General features: G+C 38.0%; 1 protein-coding gene across 16 annotated transcripts in view, besides 2 other annotated features; it reads left to right on the top strand.

The window, feature by feature from the left end:
• REV3L (REV3 like, DNA directed polymerase zeta catalytic subunit) overlaps window positions 1–16,046 on the top strand; it is a 184,679-nt gene that overhangs the window by 28,752 nt on the left and 139,881 nt on the right. The window lies entirely within an intron of this gene.
• Window positions 13,134–13,213: an enhancer, noted in NCBI's record as "active region_24943". NCBI's record gives its function as "activates an Ori minimal core promoter by ATAC-STARR-seq in GM12878 lymphoblastoid cells {active_cell/tissue: GM12878}" and the evidence as "EXISTENCE:reporter gene assay evidence [ECO:0000049][PMID:35858748]".
• Window positions 15,487–15,687: a silencer, noted in NCBI's record as "peak6035 fragment used in MPRA reporter construct". NCBI's record gives its function as "represses an SCP1 promoter by STARR-seq MPRAs in K562 erythroleukemia cells {active_cell/tissue: K562}" and the evidence as "EXISTENCE:reporter gene assay evidence [ECO:0000049][PMID:32103011]".

Genomic DNA, 16,046 nt, shown 5'->3' with positions numbered 1-16,046 from the left:
GCGCGGTGGCTCATGCCTGTAATCCCAACACTTTGGGAGGCTGAGGTGGGTGGATCACCTGAGGTTGGGAGTTTGAGACCAGTCTGACCAACATGGAGAAATCCCATCTCTACTAAAAATACAAAATTAGCCAGGTGTGGTGGTACATGCCTGTAATCCCAGCTACTCGGGAGGCTGAGGCAGGAGAATCGCTTGAACCTGGGAGATGGAGGTTGTGGTGAGCCGAGATCGTGCCGTTGCACTCCAGCCTGGGCAACAAGAGCGAAACTCCATCTCAAAAAAAGTTAGAAAAAACTCAGGAAGGAAGGACAAATACATGATTCCACTTATATGAGATACCTACAATAGTCAAATTTATAGAGAACAAACAATAGAATAGTGTTTACTGAGGGTGGGATGGAGGAGGAATGGGGATTTATTATTATTTAATGGGTACAGAGTTTGTGATGATGGGAAAGTTCTGGAGATGGATAGTGATGATGGTTACACAATAATGTGAATGTACTTAATGCCACTGAATTGTATACCCAAAAAGGGTTAAGATGGTAAATTTTACGTATATTTTACCACATTTAAAAAAAAAAAATTCATGAAGGTAAGGACCTTGGCCTGTTTACTCAGCTTTGTTTTCTGTAGTTCCTCACATTGTTTTGTTTTATTGTTAAATTGTTTTCTTTTGACATGGTAGTACTTGATTTTTTTAAGTGTTTGAAATTGGGTCCAGCACAGTAGCTCAAGCCTGTAATCCCCTCACTTCAGGAAGCTAAGGCAGGAGGATTGCTCCAGGCTGGGTGTTTGAGACCCGCCTGGACAACATAGTGAGACCCTGTCTCTATTATTAAAAAAAAAAAAAAAGTTTGAAATTAAATTGTGTGTAAGCGCATGGGATATTGTCTAAGAAACCAACTGAATCTATAAAGTAAGGGAGGAAACATAGCACATAACTTTTTTATTTTCTTATTTTTTATTTTTTTGAGACTGAGTCTTGCCCTGTAGCCCAGGCTGGAGTGCAATGGCATGATCTTAGCACACTGCAACCTCTGCTTCCCAGCTTCAAGCCATTCTTTTGCCTCAGCCTCCCAGGTAGCTGGGACCACAGGCATGCGCCACCACGCCCAGCTAATTTTTTTGTATTTTTAGTAGAGATGGGGTTTCACCATGCTGGCCAGGCTGGTCTCGAACTCCTGACCTCAAGTGATCTACCCGCCTCAGCCTCCCAAAGTGCTGGGATTATAGACGTGAGCCACCGCACCCAGCTGTAGCACATAACTTTAAAATATCACATATTTAAAGGAAATATTCTTGTGATAATATAAATATTAACTAAAATTAATAACTAAAGTGGTTGTCACCTGCTACTAAGCAGTATATAGTGGTAAAAGAGAGGCAGTATGGCATTGTGAGACTTCAGGCTTGGTAAGGTCAAAAAGTCTTTTTTACCTGCTTAGAATGATGTTCCTATCCAAGTCCAGGATGACTGGGGAACAGTACAACCTTGAGTGTATCTTATGTTATAGATAATCTCATTTGAGCCCCCTACGTCTCCATGAAATGGAGATACCTCTATTTTCCTATAAGGAAAGTATATGTGCTATTGAATACTATCAACCTGGCATAATTGCAAACCCAGTTGATATATATGTGTGAGTACACACGTGTACATTAGAACTTCTAATAAAGTCATTCTGTGAGACTAAATTTGCAAAATAATTTATCTGGAAACAGTTTAAAATGGGGTCTTATTTTTACCTAAGAGTGTGTGATGGATGGAGTAGGTCTGGGATGGTGCCCAGAAATATGTTGATGCCTGTGATTTAGGTAACCCTTAGAATCTACTCTAAGAAATACTGTTTTGATAAAGCAGGTGATATTTTGGATTGATGAAGGTCTCTTTTAGAATCAGATTGTTCTTATTATTGAATGGTTAAAATATATATTTATGTATTACATTATTATATATTAAAATATGTAAAGAATGACATTGCTTTTATCTTGACTGCATAATTCTTATCAATTTCTTGCTCTTTCCAGTGATTTCCACATTTTTACTTTCCTACCTATTGCTATTTTCTGTCAGGTGTTGATAAATTCTGGTGAGTGACAGGTAATATGAGGGGCAAATATGTTTATTCCCCTGTTCTTTTTCTTTAATCACGTTTATTGAGGTATAATTTACATATAATAAAATGGACCAATTAGACGAGTTATGACAAACGTATGCCGTCATATAACCATCATCACCACAGTCATGGTATATAAAATATTTCTATCACCCTAAAAAGTTCCCTTGTGCTCCTTTTAGTAAAACCTCTCTCGCTATTCCTGGTCCCTCACAACCACTTATCTGCTATATCACTGTAATCACTTATAGTTTTGCCATTTCTAGACTTTCTTATAAATGGAACCATGTGTTACGTAGTTAAGTGTCATCCACATTGTCGTATGAGTTAATGTTTTTTTTTAATTGCATTATATGCATTTATCCATTATATGGATATACCATTCACTAGGTGCTGAACATTTGGATTGTTTCCAGTTTGGGCTGTTATGAATAAAGCATTTATGTACAAGTCTCTGTGATTATATACTTTCATTTCTCTTATAAATACTTAGGAGTGGGATTGTTGGGTTGAATGGTAAGTTTACTTCATAAGAAACAGCCAGATTTTTTTCCCAGTGTGGCTGTACCATTTTGCATTAGCTCCAGCAACTCATGGGAGGTCCAGTTTCTCCTACCCTCTCCAACATTTGTTTATATTTAGTCTTTTAAAATTCTGTCTTTTCTAGTGAAAGTGTAATGATATCTCATTGTGGTTTTAATTTTCATTTCCCTAAGGTCTAAGAATCTGAACATCTTTTAGTGTGCATATTTGCCATTCACATATCTTCTTTGGTGAAGTATCCAAATCTTTTTTACAAAATTGAGTTGTTTTTCTTCTTGTTGAGTTGAAAGGGTTCTTTATTCATTCTGGACTCAAGTCCTTTATCAGATACATGTTTTGCAGATATTTTCTCCCAATCTATGGCTTGCATTCTTATTTTTCTAGTGGTATCTTTTGAAGAGTCAAGGTTTTAAACTATGATAAAGTCCAATTTATCTTTTTTTTTTTTTTCCTTTCGTGATTCATACTTTTTGGTGACCTAAGAAATCTTTGCCTAACCTAAAATATCAAATGTTTTCTGTTTTCTTGTAGTTTATGTCCTCTGTTCTTACCAGATTGTGGTTTGATTTCTAAGTTGTCATTAGGTGGTACTTTTTAGAAGTATTAATGGAGATTATTTTGATAGGCTTTTTAAGCTGTGAGGTAGCTTTATAAAAATTCCCTTCGGTATTGGGCCCAAAATTTGCTTTAAATATAGGCAGAGTATCAGTAGAAGGCAACACAGAGCTATTCTGTGCCCTAGGATTTTAATTTCTGACCTCCTGGTTATAGTTGGTATCTGCCCAGGGATAATTGCTCTTAGGGTAAGACTTTTAACATGTAAGCCAGCCTGTCAAAAGTGCACCTAAAAGTTCTCTTTCAGTCATTTTCTGAGTTACTGATAGGAACATAGGTACTGTGTGAATCAGATCTGAGAGGATTATGAATGTTATAGAATGCCTTTTGTTAGGGAATTTAAGCCCAGAAGAAGTTGGGAAAGTGACAGATTTATATAAATGCGAGTGACAAAACCAGTTAAAATGTTCTGACTCAACTTGAAATATGTTGGACTATATAATAAATATAATATTGTGAGATATTCTGAACTAGACTCAACTCTGCTCTGGCTTTCCTCCCTTGTAATTCCATTACTTGGTCCCTTTCCCCTTTTTCTTCTATGACCTCTGGCAATTTGGCTTCTTACACTTAGAACTTAACTAACACCCAGCTCAGACCCATGGCATCCACTTACACTTCATGAAGAACTGTGAACCTGTAATGTTTTTTATGGAAACTCATTATGATTCTGTCTCCTTTCTGCCTTATCACCTGTGTGGGATAAGTTTCATAAACAAATAGCTTCTCTGGTTCTTTCTGTTGTGAGCTGACTAGGATAGTTTATAGGTAATATCTCATTCCACTTTTCTGCATAACACAGACTGGTTGGTTGTCTTTCCCAGCCAAAACAGCATAAGCAACAGATTGGACAAAAGCGGATATGATAACCCAGCTTTCTCTTCTGAAACCCAGACGTTAGAGTGATTTACAAAAATGTAAAACAATTTCTGTCTTTTCACAGTTTTTTTCTTTAATTATCCAAATGTACAGCTTTTCTCATTACTTTCTTCCTCTCCATAATATGTAATAGTTTGCTCTTGTAGTACCATTTTAAGCCCATACTTTTCTACCTTTTTTGTTTTGTTTTGTTTTTTTGGTAATTGTATATAGCACTTACCCTCCACTGCAGGAACTTAAGTTATACATATATAAGCCTGCTTAAAGATGTAACATAGGATACTAATGTTTTTTGGTTTTTTTTTTTTTTTTTTTTTTTTTTTTGAGACAGGGTCTTGCTCTGTCACCCGGGCTGGAGTGCAATGGCACAAGCATGGCTCACTGCAGCCTCGAATTCCTGGGCTCAAGCAGTCCTCCCATCTCAGCCTCCTGAATAGCTGGAACAACAGGTGCGCATCACCGTGCCTGGCTAATTTTTTAATTTTTAGTAGAGGTAGGGTCTCACAATGTTGCCCAGGCTGGGCTCTAACTCCTGGCCTCAAGCATTTCTCCTGCCTCAGCCTCCCAAAGAGCTGGGATTACAGGCATGAGCCACCACACCCGCACCCAGCCTTGTTCATGTATTTTCAGGCTTTTTCTGTGCTTCATTTTGGACGGTTTCTATGGCTTTGTCTTCAAGTTTATTAATCTTTAATTCCGGCATTTCTGATATATTCTTAGTTCTACTCATATTTTTCCTCTTCATTTATTTTTCATCCGTCATGAGATGAAAATTTTGATTTATGTTTGTTTATTGTCCACATCTCTATTTAATATATTCAGGCATTCTTCTACTTCTTGAACATATAGTTTACAGTTGCAATAACTATTTTAATATCTTTGCTTACTAATTCCATCATCTGTATCATTTCCTGGCTTGTTTCTATTGCTACATTTTTTTCCTCATAATGGGTCACATTGTTCTGTTTATTACATGCCTAGTTTTTTTCACTGGATTCCAGGCATGGTGGATTTTACCTTGTGTTCTGGATATCATTGTATTTTTAGAAATATTCTTGAGCTTTATTCTGGGACACTTAAGTTATTTGGAGATAGTGTAATCCTTTCAAGTCTTTTTATGCTTAGTTGGGTGGGAACAGAACAAACTTAACTAGGGCTAATGTTGCCCATCTACTGAGTCAATAATCTTATGATTATTCTACTCGATGTCTTGTGAAGTATGTTTCCTTCTTAGATGAAACATAAGTTATTCCTGCTACTGTGTGAGCCCTTGGGATTGTTCCCTCTGCCCATTTTAGTTACTTATTTTTCTGCTTTAGGTACATTCCTCACAAAGCACGTGCTGATACTTTCAGTAAAACCTTGAGGGAACCCTCTGCAGATCTACTCCTGTCTGTCTCTGCAGTTCTCTTCTCCCGGTATTCTACTAGGCAAATTCTAACAAGCATGGCCTTCAACTTTGTTTCCTCAACTCAGGGAGATTGCCAGCTTCCACCTGGGTTTCTTATCCCTCTGCTCCGTGGAAGCTGTTAAGTGGGGAGCTATTGAAGAAGGACTTACAATGTTTGTTTCCCGTCTCTCAGGGATTACTGTCCTATGCTGGCCAATGTCTAATGTGTAAAGACCATTGATTTACATGCTTTTCTGTTTATTAATTATTTCAGGCAGTGGGTAAATGTATTCCCTATTATTTCACCTTGACTCAAAACCCTGCCTACTCGTTTTTAAAGTTTAAGCTCAAGCATTAAATCCTCTCCAAAGTGTTTCATATTCCATTTTCTATTCAGGAATGATTTGTTTGCAAAGACCACAAGCTCTTTCAAAAAAGCTGTAATTGGCCAGGTGTGGTGGCTCACGCCTGTAATCCCATTCAGCACTTTGGGAGGCCGGGGCAGGAAGATTGCTTGAGGCAAGATTGCTTGAGGAGTCTCTAACTCCTCAAGCAGGAGTTAGAGACCAGGCTGGGCAACATACCAAGACCTCATCTTTGTTAAAAATTGAAAAAAAAAAAAAAAATAGCCAAGTGTGGTGGTGTGCTCCTGTAGTCCCATACACTGGAGAGGCTGAGGTGAGAGGATCATTTAATCCTGGGAGGTTGAGGCTACAGTGAGCCGTGATTGTGCCATGGCACTCCAGCCTGGGTGACAGTTAGACCCTGTCTTGGAAAGAAAAGAAAATGGCCAGGCACAGTGGCTCACGCCTGTAATCCCAGCACTTTGGGAGGCCGAGGCAGGTGGATCACTTGAGCCCAGAATTTCAAGACCAGCCTGGGCAACACCATCTTTCCAAAAACTACAAAAATTAGCTGGGTGTGGTGGCCGGTGCCTGTGGTCCCAGCTACCCAGGAGGCTGAGGTGGATCATCTGAGCCTAGGAGGCAGAGGTTGCAGTGAGCCAAGATTACTCTATTATACGCCAGCCTGGGCAACAGAGCGAGACCTTGTCTCAAAAAAAAAAGAAAAGAAAAAAAAGAAAACCTCCAATAAAAAGGGGATTTATTATTACAGTATAGAGAAATCTCACAGATCTTCGTTGCATGGTATAAACAAGTCTTACTTCTCTTCCATTGTTTTCTCTGCAGACCAGTTTCCACACAGTTCTTCCCATTTGCCTTTGGCTCTCACTTGCCTGTTAAGGTATTAACTGTGGCCTTAACTCAACATGACCATTCAGCTCTAGTCCTTATACCTGATCGTTGGATTGCTTATTTATATGAACAGCCCCAAGGAGCCAGAAAATTCATATCTTGGGTGAACAGAGTTCAATACTGACATGATAGTGTTCCATGATTCATAATACAATTAAAGTAAAATTTTTAATTAAAAAAATTTTAAAGTAAGGATTTTGTGTGGGGAAATAACCTATAAATTCTAACTTAGGAAGTTGAGTCTCAATACTCAATGAACACAGTGTTTGTATAGTAGTAGAGACATTTGGTTAAGTTTTTTGCTTATTAAATAATATGATTCATCAATAAACATATATAGAGCATCTATTATGTATCAAGGACTGCCCAGAGCTTATATTCTGAAAGAGGGGTTGACCAACTATAGTCTGTGAGCCAAATCCAGTCCAGCCACCTATTTTTCTAAGTAAAACTTTATTGGATCACTGCCCCTCACATCGATTACTTATAATGGCTGTTGTCATGCTTCAGCAGGAGGTAGTTGCACCAAAGGTTCACTGTGACCCACAGTGCCTAAAATATTTGCCATTTGTCCTGTTATACCTTATGCCAACCCCTGACGTAAAGTGAATTTTTTTAATGTGAAAAGGTTAACAACTTTTTACAGGGTGAAAACCATCTTTAATCAGGTCTTAGACTTTGACGAAAATTAATAGAGGTTAAATTACTTTCCTTAGAGTCGTGACATTTGAAGTTTTTGGTTTTATTTGCTCATAAAGACCACAGGTTTGTTTTGTCTCTTTATTAATTTCTAGTTAGTGAGATTGCATTTTTCTCTGTAAGTGTTTTCTAATAGCAAGCATTTGAAAGTTGGAGTTGAAATAATCTCACACGAGGGCATCCCGGTTTACTGGTGATTCAGAACACATCTGGTACGGTATTTGGCAAGAGGCTAAAGGCTAAGTTTTGCAGCCACCCGTATTAAGTCTTTTGCAAACCATCAGGTGTATTCTGTAATTTTAGCAATAAACAGATTTTTTTCCTTCAGTATGCTAAAATAAAGACTGATATATTTTGGGATGGTAGGTATAGTTGAAAATTAACTGTTTTCAAATATAAAAAACACCGAAGCTCAGGAAATACCATCTGAGTCTAATTATACTTGTGAGGTTAGTGATCAGTATGTAGTTCTTGTGTCTTCATGGTTGTCATTAGTTAAGGTAAAGAAGTCTCATATAGATTTACACGAAGTTATTCATCCTTCAAGTCTCTGCTACTATACAAAGAGTAGATTTATTCATTTTTAATATATGCCTATCTCTTTAAAATGCCATAGCCACTAATCTCAGTATCAAATACTAGATTCTCCTAAGGCTTTACAAAAGGAGATTCCCACTGAAGGGAATTTGTGGAAGAAAAGTAGAGTCCCTGTGATTTGGGAGTTGTTTGTTTGTTTGTTTGTTTGTTTGTTTGTTTTGAGACAGAGTCTCACTCCGTCGCTCATGCTGGAGTGCAGTGGCGTGGTCTTGGCTCACTGCAACCTCTGCCTCCTGGGTTCAAGCAATTCTCCTGTTTCAACCTCCTGAGTAGCTGGGACTACAGGCGCCTGCCAACTCGCCTGGCTAATTGTATTTTTAGTAGAAATGGGGTTTCACCTTGTTGGTCAGGTTGGTCTCGAACTCCTGACCTCAGGTGATCCACCCGCCTCGGCCTCCCAAAGCGCTGGGATTGTAAGCGTGAGCCAGCCACCGTGCCCAGCTGATTTGGGAGTTTTTATAACTAAAGTCACTTCATCCCAGTTTGTTGGGATGTTCCTAATTTACACTAGCATTATTATTAATAGGAACCACCTTTATTCTCAACAATCCAGTTTGTACAAGAAATTATATTGTTACTCTATTAATAGAATCATATTGATTATGGAGCAGCAGGATCTGTTTTAAAATTTAGCATTTAACCAACCTCAGCATTTATTCTGATTAACTGTTAACTCTCATGGGAGTTGGTGGATTGATGACCACAAGACAGCACAATTGTTAAAATGAGACTTAACTCATACACAGGCCCATCTGACAGTAAAGGGCTACATTATGTATGTCTGTACAGCACAAAATCATTTGAATCCCCACAGCTGAAAATGAACTTTTTGTGTTGTGTAAAGGGACTTCCTCAGTCTGTCTCCATTGTTCTTTTCTAGGCTTATTTCCCATTTTTCTTTCTCTTTACCATGAATCTTATATTTCAGCCCCACTCATATGCTTGGCATTTCCTGAATATATCCTATGCTTTGTCTAACCCCCATACCTTTGCTTAAACTGTTCCCTCTGTTTTTTTGTCTGCTTTACCTTTTCCAGTCTCCTTTTCCTATGTCTGTTAAATTCCTACCCATCCTTTAAAGACTGGTGTAAATAACACTTCTATGAATCCTTTCTTGCCACATCCATTCCAATTAGTTTCCCTTTTTAGGGGGGCTCCCTAAGCATTTTGTTTCCATCTCTGTCTTGCAGTATAACTTTTTGCAACAACCCCATCCCCAGCTCTTTAAAGGTAGAGGTTGTACTTAATTCATTTTGAAATCCACATTACCTTTATAAAGCCTTGTACACACTTAGGTGTTCAGTAAAAACGTATGGTGAATTGTTGGTATATCCCCCTAATTTATTTAGAATAACCAGAAAATATTTAAAAAATGGTTTTCTTTATAAGGTTTTAAGAGTAACTTTACTCCAATTTCTAAATATATTTAATACTTTTAATTTTCTTTATTTTAGCTGTTTTTTAAAAAAATTGCAACTTATATTTTGGATTCAGGGGTACATATTCAGGTTTGTTACATGGGTATATTGCATGATGCTGAGGCTTGGGACATGATTTACCCCCGTTACCCAGGTAGTGAGCATGGCACCCAATGGTTACTTAATCCTTGCCCCCCTCCCTACCTTTCCTTTCTAGTAGTTCCCACTGTCTATTGTTGCCACCTGCATTCTTGTTAACACTTTTTTCTTCAGATAGAAGTATATTCTCATTGAGTTTTTAAGTGGACCCCAAAAGTTTTTGTTTCTTCTTCCCTTCCAAGGCAGTTGGCCACATGCCGAGAGCTTCTTATATTTCTCTCCTGTTGCCGTCTTATTATCTGTAGTTGATTCTTGAAAACGATGAGGTGATCGGTTGCTTGACTGCCTAGGTTAGTTCTCTGGGTTAATCATTGCCTTCCATAAATCTCCTTCGCTTTGGCCACTATACTTCTGGGAAAGAAGTAGGATGAACAGTATTCAGTTCTCTTTGCCAGTTGAGGAAAATATACCTTAAACATTAACCTGCTTTGTGAAATTTTTCTAATGACAAAAAGGACAAATTAGCAGATGACATTATAGCCCTGGCATTTTTTTCCTTTCAAATAAGTCTAATTTTATTGTACTGGAGTAGAGAAAGCCTACACCAAGCAACTAACCCGTTAGGCATTTTATCTTGGCTGTATCAAAAAGTTTTGTTTTGAGTGAAAGAAGTTTGTAGGAATTTTCAGAACGTAAAACCTAAAGGTTGATTATCATTTGATATATTATCAGTCGTTCTACTTTCCTTTTCTTCCTTTTCTGTGGAAATGGCCCCATCATATTCTTTCACCATTTTTCTTTTGGGTTGCTATCTTTCTTACTGATTTGTAGGAGTTCTTTATATATTCTGGATACTGATCATTTGTGGTTAAGTGTATTGGAAACATCTCTTTCAGGTCTTTGTCTTTTAATTTGTGGTATTTGTGGCCATTTTAATTTAAAGTCATAGCTTTTTCTTTTGTAGTTTAAGCCTTTTATGCTTGTTTTTAAAAATCTCCTTCTAGACAGAGACTTTAAAAATATTTTGTATATACTTGGATTTGAATCTATCTGGATTGATTTCTTGGGCAGTATGATTTTGGAAATCTAACCCTACCTTTTTTCCCAGCTTGATAACCACTTGGTCTAGCACTATGCAATGGGCAATCAGTTCCTTTTCTGCTGATCTATAGTTTTATGAACCTGTGTTTTTAACCAATACTTCCTAATCTGCCAGTAGATGTTTGAAGGCCTGTCTACATGTTACATTTCCATGTCAGTTACCATTGCTATACACACTTTGTTAATTCTCTGTTGTTTGCCCATATTTTATAGAGGGAATGGAACATGGACAATAATGGTACTCTGTTTTCTGTTTGGTTTGGAATATTTAAAATCAGTTCTCTTTGACCTCAGAGCTTTGGGAAATAGAATTAACTCCTTTTTATAAAACAATTAAGAATTTCTGGCCTACACCATTAAAGTCATGTATCAGACTAAAGGATAGCATCTTTTCTAAATTCCTTCATGAAATGAATAAATGAACAGCCTATGGCTGAATGTTAAGCTGTGTATGGACAGGTTAAGACCCTATGAGGCCAATTTTCAGTGAAAGGATAGCTACTGAAAACCATAAATTAAGCAACTACCAAAGTTTGCACACATCTGCAAAATATGAACATTTTGTCTATTCAGAGTATTGAGACCTTCTTGAATACACCAGGCATTCAGTAGAAATTCCAGAAAGGTCACATCTTATGAGTAGGGCTAATGTAGTCTTAGCGTAAAGGCTTTCCTGGACCTGCACTAACAAAATTTAAAAACGAGGCTCAAAACAATCAGATTGATCTGCAAGTAAATTAGTTGCCTGCTGGGACAAACCTTTCTTGAAAGGAAGACAATAAAATCCACATATAAGCAGGTATCTACAATGCCCACCATCTATTTAAAAATTACTAGATATGGCCGGGCGCGGTGGATCACAATGTCAGGAGTTTGAGACCAGCCTGGCCAATATGGTGAAACCTCGTCTCTACTAAAAATACAAAAATTAGCTGGGCGAGGTGGCGGCGCCTGTAGTCCCAGCTACTCGGAAGGCTGAGGCATGAGAATGGCTTGAACCCAGGAAGCGGAGGTTGCAGTGAGCCACTGCACTCCAGCCTGGGCAACAGAGAAAGACTCTGTCTGAGAAAAAAAAAAATTACTAGATATATAAAGAAGTAGGCAAATGTAATCTATAAAAAGGAGAAAGTCTTGTGAATAAAAACAGACCCAGAATGCAATATGTGATCAAATTCAAATAAAAGGACTTTAAGATAGGTATTTAAGTGTATTTAGTAATTTTAATGAAAACACAATAGAACAAAACTTATAATACAACATAGCCGCCTGAGCGACAAAGTGAAATCCTGTCCCAGAAACAAAAAACACCACCACCGATCCTAAACAGGACACACACACACACATACACACAGAGAGAGAGACACCATGGCACATCATAATTGAATTGTTGCAAATTAATAAAAATCTTTAAAGCAGCCAAGAAAAATCTCTCAAACCATATACAGGGAAATCATCATAAGAACAACTACTTAAAGAGATGTAGTTAATAAGACAACTGATAAGGCAGAATTGAATCTAAAATTTTTTCAGGCCAAAAGAGAGCAGGTTAGGGGAAAAAAATGAGCAATGAATAAGCAGGAAAAATAGAAAACAAAATGGCAAAACATAACCTCAAACCTTATTACTTAAATAATTGGATTAGTTTTACGTGGACTTATTATTCTAACTTAAAATGCAAAGCACTACCATATGCAGCTCATAAGAATCATACTTAATATATAGACAGTTTGAAAGTAAAACAGTGGAGAAATGTACTTTGCAAGGAAAAGTCACTAGGAACACTGGCGTATCTAAAGATCAGGCAAAGTAGACTTCATGGTAAGACATATTATCAGAATTAAAGAGGGATATTTCAAAATGATAAAAAGTTCAAGTTTTCAAAAAGACAAAAAGTTCAAAAAACTTGATGCAATACTGACATCAAGGGAGAACATAAGGGAGAACTAAAGAGAGAAAAAGATAAAGCCAGTGTTACAGTTGGAGACTTCAACACTCCTCTTTTCAGCATTTGGTGAAACAAGTGGGTAGAAAATCAGTAAGTATATGAAACACTTGAACAACACTGTCAACCAACTCAGTCTAATTGACATTTTTAGAACCCTACACCTACCTAATAATTTCAGAATACACATTGTTTACAAGGTCACATGTAACATTTGCCAAGGGAAACCACCAGCGCCGTAACCAACTCAGGGAAAGGGAAGTATCTAACTCCAGCCCCCTTTATTCTTCCTGTTTCACCTAAGTGGGGGGAAAAGCTGAAAATCACTTGTGACGGTCACACCCCCGGGACACAGGCCCACTTAAAGACTGAAACGTAATCATAGGACTATAGAACACTTTATCTTCTCCCCATACCCCACATCAACAGGTTCTTCCCCTCCCCTCATGTCAGCAGGCTCCTGTATAATAACAGAAGATTACAGCTGAAAGAACTGCAAGGCTTAGACTCACACTATGTAAAGAGTTTCTAGGGAAACCCAAAGACAGTATGAGACAAAAACAAGGACAGTAGAGAAAATATTAGCCTCTAACACCTATAACTACAGCAAATAGTAAACATGACAGTCTTAACTCCCAGCTAGATATGGCAGAGATTTTGGAATTGTCAGATTGATAATTTAAAATAATGATGAGTAACATGGTAAGGTCTGTAATAAAAAATGTAGACAATATACAAGAACAGATGAGTGGCTGGACGTGGTGGCTCGCACCTGTAATCTCAGCACTTTGGGAAGCGAGGTGGGAGAATCACTTGAGCCCAGGAGTTCAAGACCAGCCTGGGCAGCATAGTGAGACCTTGTCTCTATAAAAAATAAAATTAGCTGGGTGTGGTGGCATATGTGCTTGTAGTCCCAGCCATTTGGGAGGCTGAGGTGGGAGAATTGCCTGAGCCCATGAGGTCAAGGCTGCAGTGAGCCAAGATCACGCCACTGCACTCCAGCCTGAGTGACAGAGCGAGACCCTGTCTCAAAAACAACAATGACGACAACAACAACAGTAACAAAAAGAACAGATGGATAATAGAGGCATAGGGATTGGAATTGTAAGAAAAGGAAATGCTAGAAATAAAATCTATAACAGAAATGAAGAATACCTTTGATGGGCTTTTCAGAAGAACAAAATAAATATTTGAAGTAATAATGACTGAGAATTTTCCAAAATTAAACACCTACACATATCATATTCAAACTGCAGGAAACCAAAGATAAAGAGAAAATTTTGAAAGAAACCAGAGGCGAAAAAACCCACCTTACTTCTATGTGAAGAAAGCAAAAATTACATCGGACTTCTGTTCACAAACAATGCAAGCAAGAAGCGAGAGGAGTGAAGTGTTTTAAGTGTTGAAAGAAAAACACCAACCTCGAATTATTCTGTGTGCAGTGAAATTATCCTTCAAAATGAAAGAGAAATAAAAAACTTTCTCAGACAAATAAACATTGAGGGAATCTGTTGCCAGTAAGAAATGTTACTTGCCTTATAAGAAATGTTAGAAGTTCTCCAGAGAAAAGGAACATGATATAGGTGAGAAACTTGGATCTACATAAAGAAAGGAAGAGTATTAGAAAAGGAATAAGTAAAGGTAAAATCTTTTATTTTCTTGTTCTTAACTGATAGGTAACTGTTCAAAATAATAATAGCAGTAATGCATTCAGTTATAGCTTAGGGATAAGTGAAATTAATGGCAGCAATTTTATAAGGGACAGGAGGGCTGTCCCTTATAAGTAATTGCAGTTTTGGACCAGGAATTTTAAATCATTGTAACTAGGCTCAGACACATCTTTATTAATCAAAATAGGAACCATTATAATCAACACATTTTCGCCAAAAGATACGTTTGTTTATTTCTGTAGCATAAAAATCTTTGCTTTGGGACTCGGCGTGGTGGCTCACGCCTGTAATCCCAGCACTTTGGGAGGCCCAGGTGGGTGGATCACCTGAGGTTGGGAGTTTGAGACCAGCCTGACCAACATGGAGAAACCCCGTCTCTACTAAAAATACAAAATTAGCCGGGCATGGTGGCGCATGCCTGTAATCCCAGCTACTAGGAGGGAGGCCGAGGTAGGAAAATCACTTGAACCCCGGAGGCGGTGGTTGCAGTGAGCCAAGATTGTGCCATTGTACTCCAGCCTGGGCAACAAGAGCGAAACTCCTCCGTCTCAAAAAAAAAAAATCTGTGCTTCAGGATTCAGTGAACTCTTGGAAAGCATTTTCTGCATCCTATGGGTTGTGGAAGCATTTTCCTGGCAAAAAGTTGTCCAGATGCTGGAAGAAATCATAGTCCACTGGCAAGAGGTCAGGTGAATATGATGGCTGAAGCAAAATTGTATAGCCCAATTTCTTCAACTTTTGAAGCGCTGGTTGGCGGTCAGGCATTGTCTTGAAGAGGAATTGGGCCCTTTCTGTTTTCGGTGCATCTCATTGATTTGCCGAGCATACTTTTCAGATGTATTGGTTTTTGCCTGGATTCAGAAAGCTGTAGTGGGTCAAACGGGCAGCAGACCACCAAACTGTGACCATGACCTTTTCTTGGTCCAGCCACTGAGCTGGTCATCACATAAAATCCATTTTCTGTCATGTTACCATCCAGTCAAGAAATGTTTCGTTGTTATTGGGTAGAATAAGAGAAGACCATACTTCAAAACGATTTCTTTTGTTTTCATGCAGCTCATGAGGCACCCACTTATGTAGCTTTTTCACTTTTCCAATGTGCTTCAAATGTTGAATGACTGTAGAATGCTCTATGTTGAGTTCTTTGGCAACTTTTCGTGTAGTTTTAAGAGGATCAGCTTTGATGATTGCTCTCAATTGGTTGTTGTCTACTTCTGATGGCCAGCCACCAAGTTCCTTATCTTCAAGCCTCTTGTCCCCCTTGCACAACTTCTTGAACCACCACCGCACTGTACATTTGTTAGCAGTTCCTGGGCCAAATGCATTGTTGATGTTGTGAGTTGTCTCTGCTATTTTACAACCCATTTTGAACTCAAATAAGAAAATCGCTCAAATTTGCTTTTTGTCTGACGTCATTTCCATACTCTAAACATAAAATGAACAGCAAGTAATAAGTCATTAGCAAAAAAACATAAAGTGAGAAATGCCTGTTAAAAGGATGTATAACATAATCACATTTATTTAAGAATGTATTACAATCAAACAGCAAATTCCAACAATGCAAAAACCACAGTTACTTTTGCACCAACCTAATATAAGTTACCTTTGAGGCAGTATAGTATTATTTGAAAGTGGATTTAGAATAGTTGCAAATGTATACTTCAAACTCCAGGGTAACCACTAAAAAATTGACTGTTTTTTTTGTCTTTTAATACAT

This window comes from Homo sapiens, chromosome 6 (genome assembly GCF_000001405.40).
Source record: "Homo sapiens chromosome 6, GRCh38.p14 Primary Assembly".
In the NCBI taxonomy this organism is placed as follows: Eukaryota; Metazoa; Chordata; class Mammalia; order Primates; family Hominidae; genus Homo; species Homo sapiens.
The sequence above is the reverse complement of the archived record's forward strand: the minus strand, read 5'-3'. Positions and strand labels throughout refer to the sequence as shown.